This window comes from Homo sapiens, chromosome 11, assembly GCF_000001405.40.
Source record: "Homo sapiens chromosome 11, GRCh38.p14 Primary Assembly".
Taxonomy (NCBI): domain Eukaryota; kingdom Metazoa; phylum Chordata; class Mammalia; order Primates; family Hominidae; genus Homo; species Homo sapiens.
In genome coordinates, this window is record NC_000011.10 from 97,243,648 (window position 1) to 97,260,224 (window position 16,577).

The 16,577-nt window shown below is 37.9% G+C and overlaps 1 long non-coding RNA gene across 1 annotated transcript in view; it reads right to left on the bottom strand.

The window, feature by feature from the left end:
• LINC02553 (long intergenic non-protein coding RNA 2553) overlaps window positions 1-15,986 on the bottom strand; it is a 36,991-nt gene extending 21,005 nt beyond the window's left edge. Inside the window, exon 1 of the long non-coding RNA XR_007062858.1 lies at window positions 15,799-15,986. This is a non-coding gene — a long non-coding RNA (long intergenic non-protein coding RNA 2553). The remainder of the gene's footprint in view (window positions 1-15,798) is intronic.
• Window positions 15,987-16,577: the final 591 nt, after the last annotated feature.

The following is a 16,577-nucleotide window of genomic DNA, read 5'->3' on the forward strand; positions in this document are numbered from 1 at the left end:
GGGATCTTTCACTTCCTTGGTTAAACTTATTCCTAGGTATTTTGCCTTTTTGTAGCTATTGTAAATGGGACCGCCTTCTTGATTTGGTCTTCAGCTGGATCATTATTTGTGTGTATACATGTTACTGATTTCTGTTCCTTAATTTTTTTTTTAATCCTGAAACTTTACTGAACTTTACTGAAGTGGTTTTTCTAGATATAAGATCATATAGTCAGTGAACAGGGGTAATTTCACTTCTTCTTTTCCATTTTGGATGCATTTTATTTTCTTCTCTTGCCCAATTTCTCTGGCAAGGTCTTCCAGTAATAAGAGTAGAGAAAGTCGACATACTTGTCTTGTTCCAGTTCTCATTCAACTTTTTTCCAATAGGTATGATGTTTGCTGACAGTTGGTCATATATTGATCCTCTACTATGTTAAAGTATGTTCCTTCTATACCTAGTTTGCTGAGGATTTTTATCAGGAGGGATGCCAAATTTTATAGAATACTTTTTCTGCATCTATTTAGATGATTATATGATTTTTATCTTTATGTGATATATCACATTTATTCACATATGTCAAAACATGCTTGCATCCCTGGGATAATTCCCACCTGACCATGATGCATTATTTTATGTGCTGATGGATTTGATTTGCTAGTATTTTGTTGAGAATTTTTGCATCTACGTTTATCAGGGATATTGGTCTCTAGTTGTTTTTTTTTTTTTTCTCTGTGGGGGTGTATCCTTCTCTGGTTTTAGTATCAGGGTAATACTGGCCTCAGATTCAGTTGGGAGAATTCCTTCTTCCTTGATTTAAAAAATACAGTTTTGAGAATATTAGTGTTAGTTCTTTGTATGGTTGGTGGAATTAAGCTGTGAATTTCATCTGGTCCTGGATTTGTGTGTGTGTGTTGGGAGATTCTTTTATTACTAATTCAACCTTGCTAATTATTATTGGTCTCTTCAGGAGTCCTATTTCTTTCTGGTTTATTCGCAGGAGGTTGTGTGTTTGCGGGAATTTATCCATTTCTTCTAGGTTTCCTTGTTTGTGAGCATGTAGTTGTTCATAATCATCGATCTTTTGTATTTCTGTAATATCTATTGTAATGTCTCTTTTTACATTGCTGATTGTATCTAGTGGTTTATCAATTTTGTTTGTCTTTTTGAAGAACCAACTTTTGGTTTCATTGATCTTTTGTATTATCTTTTTTTTGGTCTGTATTTCATTTAGTGCTATTCTGATTTTTGTTATTTCTTTTCTTCTGCTAACTTTAGGTTTGGTTTTTTCTTGTTTTTTCAATTCCTTGAGTCATCACTTTAGGTTAATTTGTGGTCTTTAAGATGTTTTGATGTAGGCATTTAATGCTGTAGACTTTTCTGTTAACGCTGCTCTTGTTGTATCTCACAGGTTTTCATATGTTGTTTTCATTTTTAATTTTTTAAAATTTCCATATTAATCTACTGAGTGATAGTTCAGGAGCATGCTGTTTAATTTCCAAGTATTTGTATAATTGTGAAAATTTCCCTTAGTATTGATTTCTAGTTTTATTCCACTGTAGTCTGATAAAATACTTCATATAATTTTGATTTTTTTTAATTTTATTAAGACTTTTTTTGTGGCCTAACATGTGGTCTATCTTGGAGAATGTTCCAAGTGCTGATAAAAAGACTGTGTATTGGCCAGGCACGGTAGCTCACGCTTGTAATCCCAGCACTTTGGGAGGCTGAGGCGGGCGGATCACAAGGTTAGGAGATCCGGACCATCCTGACAACATGGTGAAACCCCGTCTCTACTAAAAATAAAAAATTAGCTGAGTGTGGTGGTGCACACCTGTAGTCCCAGCTACTTGGGAGGCTGAGGCAGGAGAATCGCTCGAACCTGGGAGATCAAAGTTGCACTGAGCCGAGATTGTGCCAGCCACTGCACTCCAGCCTGGTGACAGAGTGAGACTCTGTCTCAAAAAAAAAAAAAAAAAAAAAAAAACAAAAAAAAAAAAACAACACTGTGTATTCTGTATTTGTTTGGCAGAATGTTTTGTAAATATCTGTTAAGTCCATTTCGTCTAAAGTCCAATTGAAGTCCAATGTTTCTTTGCTAATTTTCTGTCTCAATGATCCATCTAGTGTTGCGGGTGGGGTGCTGAAGTTTCCCACTATTATTATATTGTTGCCTATCTCTCTCTCTTTAGGTCTAGTAATATTTGTTTTGTGAACTTGGGTGCTCCAGCGTTGGGTGTATACATATTTAGGACTATTATATCTTTTGCTGAACTGATCCTCTTATCATTAAATAACTACCTTTTTATATTAATGTTTTTGATTTAAAGTCTGTTTTATGTGGTATAAGTACTATCCTGCTTGATTTTGCTTACCATTTGCATGGAATATCTTTTTTACCCTTTAATTTCAGTCTATGTCTTTACACGTAAGGTGATTTTCTTGTATGCAGCATATAGTTGGATGATTTTTTTTAGATCTGTTCTGCCAATCTGTATCTTTTAATGGAACACTTAATCAATTTACATTCATAATTAATATTGATATTAATTGTTTTTCAGTTGTTTTATAACTTTTTTCCTTTATTTCCCTCTTTTTGTCTTGGTGGATGGATGAAATTCTGACGTATTGCCATTTGATTATTTTCTCTTCCTTTGTGCAGTTGTTTTATACATACTGTGAGTGTTATATTTCTGTGTATTTTTCTAATAATTAATATTGGCCTTTTGTTTCGTTAAGACCTCTGACCATCATTTTCTTTACTGTGATGGTGACAAATTATTTCAGTGTCTGGCTGTGTGGAAAAGATTTCTCCTTTATTTATGAAAATTATCTTTGCAGGATATAAAATTTTTGATTGACAGTTTTTTTCTTTCAGCACTTTTGAAAATTTCATTTCATTCTCTTCTGGGGTGTGAGAGTTCTGCTGAAAGGTCTGCTTAGTATGATGGGGTATACTTTATAGATGACTAGATGCTTTTCTCTTGCTAATTTCATTATTTTTTATACTTTGACTTTAGCCATTATGATCATAATATGCCATGATGAAGTCCTTTCTGCGATATATTTTCCTGGGAATTACTGAGCCTCCTGTATCTTCATATCTGACACTCTTGATAGATTTGGGATGCTTTCATTGATTATTTCCTTAAATATGTTTTCTAAACATTTTGATTGCTCTTTCTTCCTGGAAATATCAATAACGCATAAGTTCTGAGGTTTTATGTAGCCCTATGTGTCTCAAAACCTTTGTTCATTCATTTTTATTCTATTTTTAAAAATATTTTTCTGACTAGATTATTTCAAAATACTTCAAGTTTTGAGATTTTTTCTTCTGCGTGGTCTAGTTTATTACAGAAGCTTCCCAATGTATTTTGTAGGGCTTTCAGATAATTTTTTTGTTCCAGAATTTCTGCTTTTTAAAAAATTTGTAAGATATCTGTGTCCTGGGTAAATTTCTCATTCATATTCTGAATTGATTTTCTGATTTCTTTACATTGGTTTTGAAGTTTCTCTTGCATCTCAATGCAAGAGTAATTTGAAAACCAATGCAAAGCTTCTTTGAAATCAATATTTTAAATTCCTTATCTGGCATTTTGAGGAATTCTTTTTGATTGGGATCTGTTGCTGGGCAATTGTTGTGGTCCTTTGGTGGTGTCATATTTCTCTGTTTTTTCTTCAGTATCAGTGTGTCCTTTCACTGATATATGCTTATCTAGTGTAGCAGTTGCTTTTCCAAATTTTTAAAACTGCTTTTGTAGGGGGTAATTTTTTTCTGAAAATGTATGCATGTTGTCAGTTGAGTAGGATATTTTGGCTTTGATTTTGGCTTCCTTTGGTAGTATAATCTTTGTATGATGTCTTCAGCAGTACACAGCAGTACACATTGCAAAAAGGGTCAGTGGTATCTGTGATTTCCTCCATGGCTCAGAGTATAGTTATCACTTGAGCTTGCATTGAAGTTTTGTTCAGCAGTTGGACACAAACTGAGCCAGTCTTTAGGCCCCAGTGGTAGCAGCAGTGGGACAAATGTGCCTGATTTTAGGCCTCAGAGCAGTTTACATTGCTCTGATGTTAGTGAGTCCTGGAAGGTTGATGCTTGAACCTCCAGGCAACCTGCCTCAAATACAGGAGTGGGAGTTGGGGGGCAGGTGTTCGGGCAGTTTTTCAGTATCTGGACAGCTAGTATGATGTGGGTGATGGCAGTAGTGGTGGCGGAGCAGCCCACTGGGACTCAAGTGTTTCATGTTCATGTTCCTGGGAGGTGAAATGGATTGGGCAGGCTAGTCCCCGTCCCACAGCTACCTGTAGAAGAGCAGTGGGTATTGTCCTAAGTGTTCTTAGCTCCCCTGTGCCTCCCCTATATGGATGGTACCTGTAGTCACACTACTTAGTACTTGGCTCAAGAGTAAGCACATACCAGAATTAAACTCTCAAAACACTAACAGCTGTAAGCTTGTCACCAGAGAGGGCAGAGCCCCCCTCAGATGAGCAGCATGGGCAAGCATGTGGGGAGTGTGGCTCACTCAAGTCTTGGTCTCACAGTAGCCAGTAGCAGAGCAGTGGATTTTGTCCTAGGTATGCATAGGAAAGCCTGGTTTTGTGTCCTCCTTTGGCCTGGCAGTGGCTGCAGCCATATCAACTCGAATTTGACCCAAGGACAGGGTGCAGCTCAGCATTAGAGTCTCAAAATGGTGCCTTGGTCTTGTGACAAGGGAGGCTAGGGCCCTTCCCAGGCAGGCAGTGTGAGCAGGAAGCTATGGGGGGTGCAGTCTGTCTCACAGAAGCCCATTGCAGGGAAATGGGTATTGTTCTAAATGTGTATAGAACAGCCTGTTTTCCTGTCTCTCCTTGGGCAGGTGATGTGGCTGCAGCTGCACCATTCTGAACTCAGCCTGAGGGCAGGGGGCAACGTAGCCATAAACTCTCAAAATGGTGCCTCGAGACTGGGACCACAGAGGGCAGGGTCCCTCCCATGTGGCAAGCAGCATGGGCAAGGAGCTGTGAATAGTGTGATTCAGGTCTCAGTCTTAACAGCAGGCTGTAGCAGGGTGGTACGGACCCTCCTGGGGATATGTGGGAGCACCCAGTCTCCTTTCTCCTTCCTTGGAGCAGTTTAGCAGCAACAGCCATGTCTGTAGATCTCTGGTATTTAAGCTCCCAAAATGGCACCCCGTTGAGGCTGCTCTAGGCTTGGATGCCTGTGGGATTCCTTGTGGGTTCCCTTTCTGCAGCAGCGTCTCTGTGCAATCTTTAGGCAGTTCTGTATGTCAGGAACAAGGCCCTAGTGAGTGGAGGGTTTCTCTTGTAGCGAAGATTGTAGAAGCCCGTTTTGGATTGTGGAGCCCTGGGGATTTCTCTCTCACTATTTGCCTGTATTCAGAAATCTCTCCTGGCCCGCAGTCAGTCCCTGGACCAGGCAAGCTGCCTCAAGCCCTTTCCTTACTTCTGGTGCTTCCTGTCTTTTCTCTGGTGATCATGTTGTTCTCTCCTCTCAAGTTTACTTTGTGTACAGGGAAGGGTTGAAGAGGGCAACTTGAAATTAACTCCAGCTCTTGGGATTACAAGAAACCTAATTCATTTTAACTGCTGAAATCTAGATCTGCCAACACTGGGCAAATACAAGAGCTACTTACTCCAGGCTTCAGTTTTAACTTCCCGCTACCATCTAAAATATGTTTTGGTATGTATAAATTTATTCATTTTAAACTAAACTTTTATTTGATAACCTGAAACTTGTATGTGTCTGATCATTGATGTATAACTTCCAGAATCCTCCATTATATCTGCTTTCCTTAAGATTGTCATAGTTTTCTGTCTGCCTGGAATTTTGGAACCGATCTTCCAGCCCCATAGAACTTTCTTCCCTCCCACATTTCTAAACTTGATTTAATATCTTATGCATCTCTCAGCCTTTAACTCAAAAATCTGCTTCCTAGGAAGTCTTTGGTGCCTCTCAGATCAAATGATGTCTCCCTTATATGTGTTATCACTGATCTACTTTTCCTTTGTCTTTATTTTCACACCATAATTAAGTATTTATGTACGTTTATCTTCAACCTACAATGTAAGCTTCACTGGGGCAAGGTGCAGATATTGTTCTTCTTATCCTTAAGGCCTAGTTGTTTTTTTGAGCTGTTAGTATGTGCTTAATAAATAAATGTTGAATGAATTAATGAGAAAGGCACAATTTTATAGAACGCAAGAGTCATTGTTCAGTTACTTTAAGAAAATGCTTGCCTGAAGGTAGGAAAGTAGACATGCCACTAGGGCAGTATTTTCTTTTGAAGTGCTTGATTATGTAAAGTGATGAAAAATAGAAATTTGAAAGGATTGGGTTAATACTTTCCAGAGATGTATATACAAGCACAGAGTTAGTCTTAAATTGATTTTCATGTATATAAAGTTGCTGGGAGTTGTCTAGTCACCTCTGTGATCATGGTAATTAGGTGACAGATGGAGTCTTGGTCTATATAAATCTCAGGATAAGCCCAGTTGATCCATGGACCTATCCTGTGGTTATTTTCTATGCCCCAGAATGTAGAGTAGGAATAGATACTAAATTACAGAATCTCCAGTTGATTTCTTAATGTATCAGTGGGGTACCATGGTAGGAAGGATCTCTGGAATTGTCACCTGCCATGCCTTAACTGTCATCTTAGCCATATTGAAACCAAAGGCAATAATGCATCCCTGGGGGAATTTCAGAGAATATTCTTCCACCAGCAGTGTCAAAACTGCATGGGTAGTGAGATTCTGGCAACTATTGTCATTGTTTCAGTTATTTATTTTATTTCATTTTGCTTCTTTTTATTACTTCTCTTTTGCTCCTTTTTTGTTTTTAATAATTTCAACTTTTATTTTAGATATGGGGGTACATGTGCAAATTTGTTACATGGGTATATTGAATGATGCTGAGGTTTGGGGTACAGATCACATCACCCAGGTAATGAGTACAGTATCTAACAGGTAGTTTAGAACCCATGTCCACCTCTTTCCTTCAGCCCTCTAGTAGTCCATAGTGCATTGCCCCAGTGAAACTTACAATATCTATTGTTCCCTTCTGGGGCTTGTGAGAAAGTCAAATAACTCTTGGAAAATGACTAGGTAATTTTAAATTCATTCAATCAATTATACTAGTCACAGCTACTATTCCATACTGATATCAACAAAATACTGTTATGTAGCTATTGATCTAAGAAATGATTTATACTCTGTGCAATCAGTAAAGACATCAGAAACAGTTTGTTTTTATCTCTTCAAGAATAACAGTACACTAATACTGTCTTAGCTCAGGGTTATATCAACTGTCATGCCTTCTGTGATGACTTAGCCTGAAGAAGTTTGATCATCTTGTTATCCTTCAGAATGTCACCTTTTTCTAATATATTGATGCTCTTATGCAAACTGAACCTGGCGAGCAGGAAACTGGAAACATCCTTGATACCCTAGAAAACAGAGTACTAGAATTTGTGAGAAATGTCAGGGGTATGCCATATATTTGGAGATTCTAGGGGTCCAGTTTTCTGGGCACGTCATAAGATCCCCTTTAAAGTGAAAGACAAGTTGCTGCTTTTTGAGCCACCCATTAGGTTGAAAAGAGAAATGTTTAGATTTTAGAGGGAGGAGTATAATCCTCTAATTCATTTACCAGATAGTCTATAATACTGCCAGTTTTAGCAGCGCCAGAGCAAAAAAAGGATTTGTATCACATCCAGGCTGTGATGCAAGCACCTATACCACTTGGGTCATGTGTTCCAGCAGCCTAGATTGTGCCTTAGCAGTCTATACCATAACGAGATACAGTCTGAAGCCTTCAGCAACTCCCAATAGAAGAATCACAGTGAAGACCCACAAATGTTGAAATAAGGTCATGGTATATTCTATATTCTGCTGACAAAAATTTTACATTTAGCAAAATAGTTTCTATCTTGCAATTGCATCAAGATAGAGCCATAGTGCCTGATCATAGAAAATTAAATGAATGTGAAACCCAAGATGCCCAATATTAAATGTGAATTTGATCCACTCAATCAGAAAGTTGGACATAGAAAGATAAACTTTCTATTAAATGAAAGTTGTATGTTATGAATGTACCCAAGGAAGTCTTGAAGGCACAAGCAAGTTGGATACAAATATTGCTCATATTCATATGTTACCTGCTCCCTGCTCTAAACACTTCACTACTTCTCTTTATACCTAAATGTGTGGCCTCATGTGGAGTTTCCTGTGTTGAGTTAACAGGGGGCCTAGTTAACCATGTGTAGACTTGGCATATAAATAAGTCTGCATGGCATTTAGCCCTGCTGGAAGTACATAGTGCTGCACTACAACCTCACTTACAGGTAACCCTAATAGTATGAAAAGGAAACTTGCCAGTGAGAAGAACTTTGGGCAAAGTATCTGGGTTTCCACCGTCTAGAATGAGAGATGGCTTGGAGTGTAGGGATCCTCACGGACTCATGAAAAGTGATTAATGGGTTGCCCAATTTCCCGAGGACTTGGAAAGGACAGCCTGAAGTCTGGTTACAAGGGAGTTTTCCAGACAGGAATTTACAGAATAGGTAGACTATGAGTATATCTGTATTCATGTAAATTCCCACTGAAGATTTTCCAGGGCAGAGAAGCTTATCAACAATCAGGTTAAAAAGCTGACCCATTCTCTACACGTAAGCAAGCCTCTTGTAGCGGTCTGCAATGGGCTTTCACTGATGACATTCACAGGTTGTTTCCTGGGCTCCATTACTCAAAAGCATATGGATTGTTAGAACTATAGAAAGGTTTGTTGGTATCAATTACAGAGCAAGCTGCAGAATAACAACTAATTATATTGGTGTGCCTTCTCAAAGGGTATAATGTATGCCTTAAAGCCAGTTTAAGGTGTGACCTTTTGCAAATTTCCCAGTTTTCAAGGGTCCAGAACCTAAAGGTTAAGGTGTGGTGGCTCTTCTCATAATTATACTCAACAATCTACTAAAATTACTTTTCTTCCTATTCCCACAGTCTTGGACTTGGTGTGTTTGGACATAAAAGTGCTCCAGAAAAACTAATTCCTCTAGAAACATAGTTTGATTATTATCAGTTAGAAGCTGAGAGTGCACCCTGACAATTTTATTCTACTAAATTGGCATGCTTCTGAATCATTATACTGGGCAAGATGCTTGATACCCATAACCTAGAGTAAATTAGATTATGGCTGCATGATATAGCATGTAGGACTATGTCTGGAACCTGGAGAATCACTTGGGTGTAGCTCAGTGTTCCCATTTCAATAATAGTAATTAATAAAAAAACAGAAGTAGTCTCATGAAGAAAGGTCCTACGGGGACTTAGAAGTTGTAATGATAGAAGTTTGAGTTATTCCCCCAGGAAAGAAAAACACAAACAAAAACTTCACAACGGCCAGGCGCGGTGGCTCACACCTGTAATTCCAGCACTTTGGGAGGCCGAGGTGGGCGGATCACGAGGTCAGGAGATCGAGACCATCCTGGCTAAGACGGTGAAACCCCGCCTCTACTAAAAATACAAAAACAATTAGCCAGGCATGGTGGTGGGCGCCTGTAGTCCCAGCTACTCGGGAGGCTGAGGCAGGAGAATGTTGTGAACCCGGGAGGCAGAGCTTGCAGTGAGCCTGGATGGTGCCACTGCACTTCAGCCTGGGCTACAGAGCGAGACTCCGTCTCAAAAAAAAAAAAAAAAAAAAAAATTAAAAAAAAAAAAACTTCACAACTATTGGCAGTGTTGGTAGAAGGCAGCAGAAGATAGAACACACAGTATATAAAGCTATGATTACTCATTTGCGGCTTACTACCAGCTAAAAAGTGGGGACTGTAGCAGCTCTGTTCAGTGTTGACTATTTTTTGTCCTTTTTATTCTAAAAATGTATAGATAAGTACCAATTGTAGCTAATTGCTACTGATAAAATCATGCCCTGCTAGCTAGTATATGTTGGCTGATTAGACATTACATTTTCCTCCCTGGGGAAATGGGAAGTTGTTTACATGAATAAATTACAGGAATGTTGATAGTGATGAATGTTGAGTGGCAAAAGTAGTGGTGTACCCATAAGTTTTATACTGTTATTTTTAGCTTTGTGCCTAGAAAGATTAATCCCTGCAGATTGCAACATGTAAATGCTATAGTCCCTTGATTTCTGGAAAAAGACAAACAGAAGTTGAAAATATATAAAAGTAAAGAAAGATCAAGATATGACTCTTCCTTGCTATTTCATGCCTCTCTGTGGTTGGCCATAGTTTGGGCAACTGCTGTATTTACTGTACAGTTACGACTCATGTGGGTCAGTCTGTCTTCCTTGGCTCCTACCATTGACAATTCTTCTTTAGCGCCTTGTTCCATCAGGTCACTGGTGATAATGGTAATAATGGCTTCCCATTATTGATAGTCCTTGGGTACTTCACCATTTATTGTAGATTTCAAACTCTATGAGATGCCCCTTTATTAAATTCTGCTCATGGAGATCTTTAAGTGTGCCATTGATTTATGTCATTACTGTGACTGATATAACAGGATTTGTAATTTCTTCCAATTCTTATATTTTAAGTTTCTATAGGTCAGAGATAATTCTCATACAGTGTAGATATAAAATATAATGAGGTTTTAGAAATTTATGTGGCACAATTTAATTCTATGCCCTATACTATTGATTTTAAAATGCCATTCTTTATAATGCTGCAGATATTTATAATGCTGCAGATATTATGGTGTACACATATATAGTATTTAGATTTATTTTATACTGAGAAATGCAAAGCAATAATCTTATAAAAAGAAAGACTTTTTTTTTTTTTTTTTTTTTGAGATGGAGTCTCACTCTGTCACCAGGCTGGATGCAGCAGTGATGTGATCTCAGCTCACTGCAACCCTCGCCTCCGGGATTCAAGCGGTTCTCCTGCCTCAGCCTCCCGAGTAGCTGGGACTACAGGTGCATGCCACCATGCCCAGCTAATTTTTGTATTTTTAGTAGAGACAGGGTTTCACATTGTTGGCCAGGATGGTCTCGAACTCTTGACCTCATGATCTGCCTGCCTCGGCCTTCCAAAATGCTGTGATATAGGCATGAACCACCGTGCCCAGCCAAGAAATATATTTTTAAAGGAGGAGTAATTATAGGAAAATGTTGCCAAGTTGCTGAGGAGAATTTATCATTAGTTAAAAAATAATACCCCAAAGCCTCTAGAAAGTACAAATATGACTTTCATATGCATGAAGTCATGAACACATTATTCTTTTTCCTTTTTATAGTAGCACATCACAGAATCTTGTTCAGTCTCCCTTGTGACCGAGAGCAAACATGTCCCTTTGTCACCTAAAACATTTTATTCATTTCAAAATGGCCATGACACTGTGGCTATTTTAAGCCTCCCATTGTTTGTCTAAAATAGATTGTTCTGGCAGAGTGTATGTTCTGAAAATCATTTGCTTGGTGTGCTCATTACTTCATGTCAACTTTCAGAATGGCAATTTCTAACAATTTCTAAACATTCTTTTCCCAAACAGGTCAAGTGAATGATGCTATTTAAGTGTGTGGTTTGTGGACTATGAACTGTGAGGGAATAGGGCATTAGCATGGGTGAGGGGTAGGCAGACCACACTCATAAACCATACCAGTGTCATAGGATAAACCAAGTTTTATAGAAATGTAGAGAATGGTAATCAGGTATAAGGCCAACCAGTTCACAGTTCTTGCTAAGGTCAGGGCAAATCTGATATACAAATTATAGGGGGTTAATTGATGGACTATAAAACAGACTCAGTAGGTCAAGGGACTGGTTTCTGTTTTCCAACTCTTTCCTCACTCTACTTCATCTCCCATTTTTACAGTAGAAATAATATGCTATACAGTAGAAATTTAATTATGCTACTAAGTTGCTTAATAGCATCAGTTTTAAATATGCCTTTTTCAGGGCTACTTATTGCCAGTGCTATCAAACTCAAGCCTCATTTCATCTCCCTCATCTTGCTTTCCAGTAGTCCTTTCCACATAGCTTCTAGGTCTGTGGCTTTTCCATCACTACTCTGATAAATCGTAAATATTTCATCATTTTGACAAGCATTAAAATTTTTGTTTCAAACTGCAGGTTGAGCTGAATTGTTTATGCAACATGTGCAAATCAGCATTTGGTTTCTAGCATGAAAAATTTAAGTCAAGGAGCCAAAGTAAGATCAGAATTGACTGGATTATGTGAGAGTTTGACTGAAAAAGTTATAAACCCCTGCTCTAACCACAGTTCACATACTTTGTGAACAGCACTGCACATGCCTTCACAACGTTTTTCCTTCTTCCTCCATTACCTTTGCCTGAAATATGAGTCTAATGCCTACTCCTTACTGTCCATACAAACTCGTTTCACACCATTATAGAGAAGTCTGATTCTCCAGCTAAAGTGGTAATTACCTCGTCTGATCTCTGAATTATTTTTTCATGAGCCATTAGCTCAGTTATCTGATTGTTATAATTCATCTGTTTAAGCTCTAGTAAGTGAACTTCTTCAAAATAGGACTACAATTAATATCTGTATTCTTAGTCCCTTAAAAAATGGCTTACCTCCTTGTGGGTACTCAAAAATATTTAAAAGGTCATCATTTCACGCTGTAATCAGGAATCTAAATAGATGTGCACTTTCAGACAAAAGGAACCACTTACAAATACACTCAAAATAAAAACCTTTTATTCCAGGTTAGAACCTGGAATAAGACATCTACTTATTGATGTCTTTCATAGGTTCTGCCTTGAATTCAGATGTTTCTATAGGAGACAATTTTAATCACAGAGAAGATCAGAGGTTTTGAAGAATGCGTTATTTCTGAAATGAATGAAGAAGGGAAGCTGGAAAGTTAAGGTTTGACTGGAAAGCTAAGGTTTGCATTCCACTTCTGCCATTATCTACCTTGGTGACCATGAAAAGAACAATTGAAAGAGCAACAACAAACTTCCAGTAACAATAATTGAATTCACATTATTAATAATAATTTTAACAGATGGAATGGAATGTGTACCACATGCCTCAAACTGTGTCAAGCACCTAAAGTTAATCAGTTATAAAATGTTGAAATTATATTTATTAAACATCATAAGCAGAATACTCTCAGTTCTTATATGCTTTATCCAAAATCTCTGTGAGTATAAGGAATTCTTTAAAAGTTATAGACACCTAAAGGAAAAGGTGAAGAGATACAATGGCATTAAAATTTAGGGAAATTAAGAGTAGTGGTTACCCAGCGTAATAGACAAAGCTAAAATCCATCAGTTGGATGAGGCAGAAGACAGTGATAAGTAACCTTATTTATGCTGCAAAACCAGTCTCAGGAAGAGGAGACACCAGTTCACTTTAAAGTGGGGATAAGAAATGGGAATTAAAGCAGGGAAGAGTATTTTTTGAACTGTTTCAAAAGCACTTAGATTGTTCTTTGGCCAACATACCCACGTTAACCCACACAGCAAGATGACTATCCCTCGTCTAGCTTATCAGGAAAAGAATCTACTCTGAAAAATTAAAGGTAATAAGCTCTAGATTTGTACACATTGAGCAAAATTTAGAGGCCTTGAGGGTCGATGAATATATTAAAACAGGACATTAGGTAAATGTCTTCTCACTAAATGCTGAGATATCCTCCTGCTTCTCTCACTCAGCTTCTAGAATCCTGAAAGCCAGGCTTATACTACCAACTAGGAGGGACATTGTGAACCAAAAAATGTATAAATGCTGATATTAATAAAACAGTTCAGTGGCCACCAAACAAGTCAAACTCATTCATATTTTGGGACTTCTCACCGTACAGATATTCTGATTACCTGTAAAATGAGTCAATCTTACATAGGAATGGCTAGCTTACACATTTGAGGAAATTTACAAAATTTAAAGACAGATGCCAAGCCGTGTGTGTGTGTGTGTGTGTGTGTGTGTGTGTGTGTGTGTGTGTAAAACAAAACAAAAAGCACTCTGAGGAAATATGGAAAATTTAAAGGGAAGAAAACTTCAAAAACAACAAATACAACATGAACAGCAACTATATTATCAAGACAAGATATGGCATCATAATATGAAAATAAATGCTATTTTGGCCAGATGTGGTGGCTCACACCTGTAATCCTAGCGCTTTGGGAGGCAGAGGCGGGCAGATCACCTGAGGGCAGGAGTTGGAGAGCAGCGTGGCCAACATGGCAAAACCCTGTCTGTACTAAAAATACAAAAATTAGCTGGGCATGCTGGTGCATGCCTGTAATCCCAGCTACTTGGGAGGCTGAAGCAGGAGAATCACTTGAACCCAGGAGGAGGAAGTTGCAGTGAGCTGAGGTCATGCCACTGCACTCCAGCCTGGGCGATAGAGCAAGACTCCAACAAACAAACAAACAAACAAAAAGAATAAATGCTAAAACAGAACATTTAAGGAATTAAATAGATATTGAAAATTTGAAAAAGTACATTTTAGTAGAAACATTTTTTGAAGGCTTATTGGAGAAAGTTGAGGCTCTGACTCAAAAGTATAGGAAAAATATAGAAAGAAGAAATGAGGAGTAAAGCCATGTAAATCAGGTTTAAACTGGGAATTTCAAAATATGAGAAAAGGCAAAATAGACTGGAAGATACTCTCAAGTATATTATCAAAAATTTAAAATAAACTTTCCCTGAGAAAAAGTGACATGTGATTCCAGATTGAAGGAACCAGTCATTGAAGAGTCTGAAATTAATAAGTCACATGAACCAAGTCAAATTACTATGCAATTTTAGTGCTCTTAAAGACCTTAAACATTCTTAGGGGGACAATATCTATTATAGATCTCTACATGCAGATAGGTATATATGTATGTGTCCATCATCTGAGAAAGACGAACAAAATTTCATCAAAGGATTAGGAATCAGAATAATAGTCTTTCTCAGCTTAAAAGTCCACACTCAAACTATTCCAGTGCAGTATAAAACGAAGATAGCTTTAGATGGGTAAAACATACAAGTTTTGCATATCATGCACATTAATACACTTTATTGATATATGTTCCTTCCACAAAATCGAGAGTAAATTAAGATAAAGTTGTGTAATTCAACAAATGGACTAATACTCATGAGGCTTGAAGGAAAAAATCAGGATAATACTGTGCAGTAGTCTAGGAAGTCCTCGGGTCTCTACTTGATATTTCTCTATTTGATAATATCTTCCAGCAAACAGGCAGAAAATTTTAAGAGAGTTACAGTCAAAGGAGAAAAAAAAACACTATAACTGCTTGATCACCTGACCATGTTAAGAGGAAATTTTCAACTCTTCCCAAAGGTTTGGAAAAAGAATAAATGCTAAGTAAACTAAGCATTGACGGTAGAAAGCATTTCTGGAGTGCTAAATTGTGCCAGGTAACTACCCTGAGTTTTTAAATGTATTTTATATATAACCTTAGCAACTTTAGAACCTTGGTAATTTGTTATCCTCATTTTATATATGAACAAATTCTAGGTAAAACAAACATAAAAATGCAAACTAAAATATTTAACCAAAAATGTGAAATTGCTAGGCTAGAGGTAGGGCACAAAGGTGGCAAAATATAAGATTATTTCTAATCTTCTATAGCAGGAACTCAATAGATAATGTCTAAAATTATGAAATCAAGAAACAGCATCACTTTGTTGTTAAACAGGACCTCCCCTAGGGTATGTGGGACTGAGGATAATACCTTGGTGGGGCATCTGTTTCATAAACAATTTGAATTAAAATTTGTAACAAAATTCATGGGCCCATGACAAATATAAGGAAGTGATTTATTGAAGATGTAGAGAAAAGAGACACTCATATGTTTAGAAGCATCATACCTTATCTTGAATTCTTCAGACTGTAATCTCTGAATTCCCAGAACATAATCTCATTTGGTGTTGACCACATCTCTGCCTTCTATCCGCCACCACCAGCAGGGAGATCAGTGAGAGGAGATGAGTGAAAAAAGAAGAGTGGGTCCATTCAAGGAAGGATTGTTTGTCTTTTGTCTAGCGCAAATGAAGACTGTCCCTGGAACATGATGTTTTCGCATTCCTTGCAGGTGATAAAGAACACTGATTAGAAGGGCTCATGGTCCTGTAGAACAACAGTCTTCAGAACCTTGGAGGAAATGGCACAGCCACTCCTGGAGACTGCCTGACAAGTGGCATGGAGTTAGTGAATGGTACTAGTGGCAGGCAGGGTAAAGAATGCCTGCTGTCAGCACCACCACACCCTACCTTGTGTGCTGTAGGCATGCAGTGGTGGGGTAATCAGATCACAGATGGGTCAAATCCATTTCATAGGCCTGGATATGTGGCTTTAGGCCAAGGGTCAGCCATGGTCCATGGATAGCCCAGGGTCTGAACTCATCCTGGATCTGACACAAATAAGAGAGAATCACTGCAAATCAGCAAGACGGCATCATTTCAACACTTTAATCTTATACAATCTAAAGAGAAATACTTGCATCATCCAGCAGGAGGCAACTTGTAATGAAGCCACTTTATTGGAACTAGATTCTTGCTTACCTGGTCTAAGAGTGGTTCTATATCTGAAATCTGGAAGCAAATATAAAAACAGCTAAAACGTTGAAATGTTGTACTAATTTATTCCG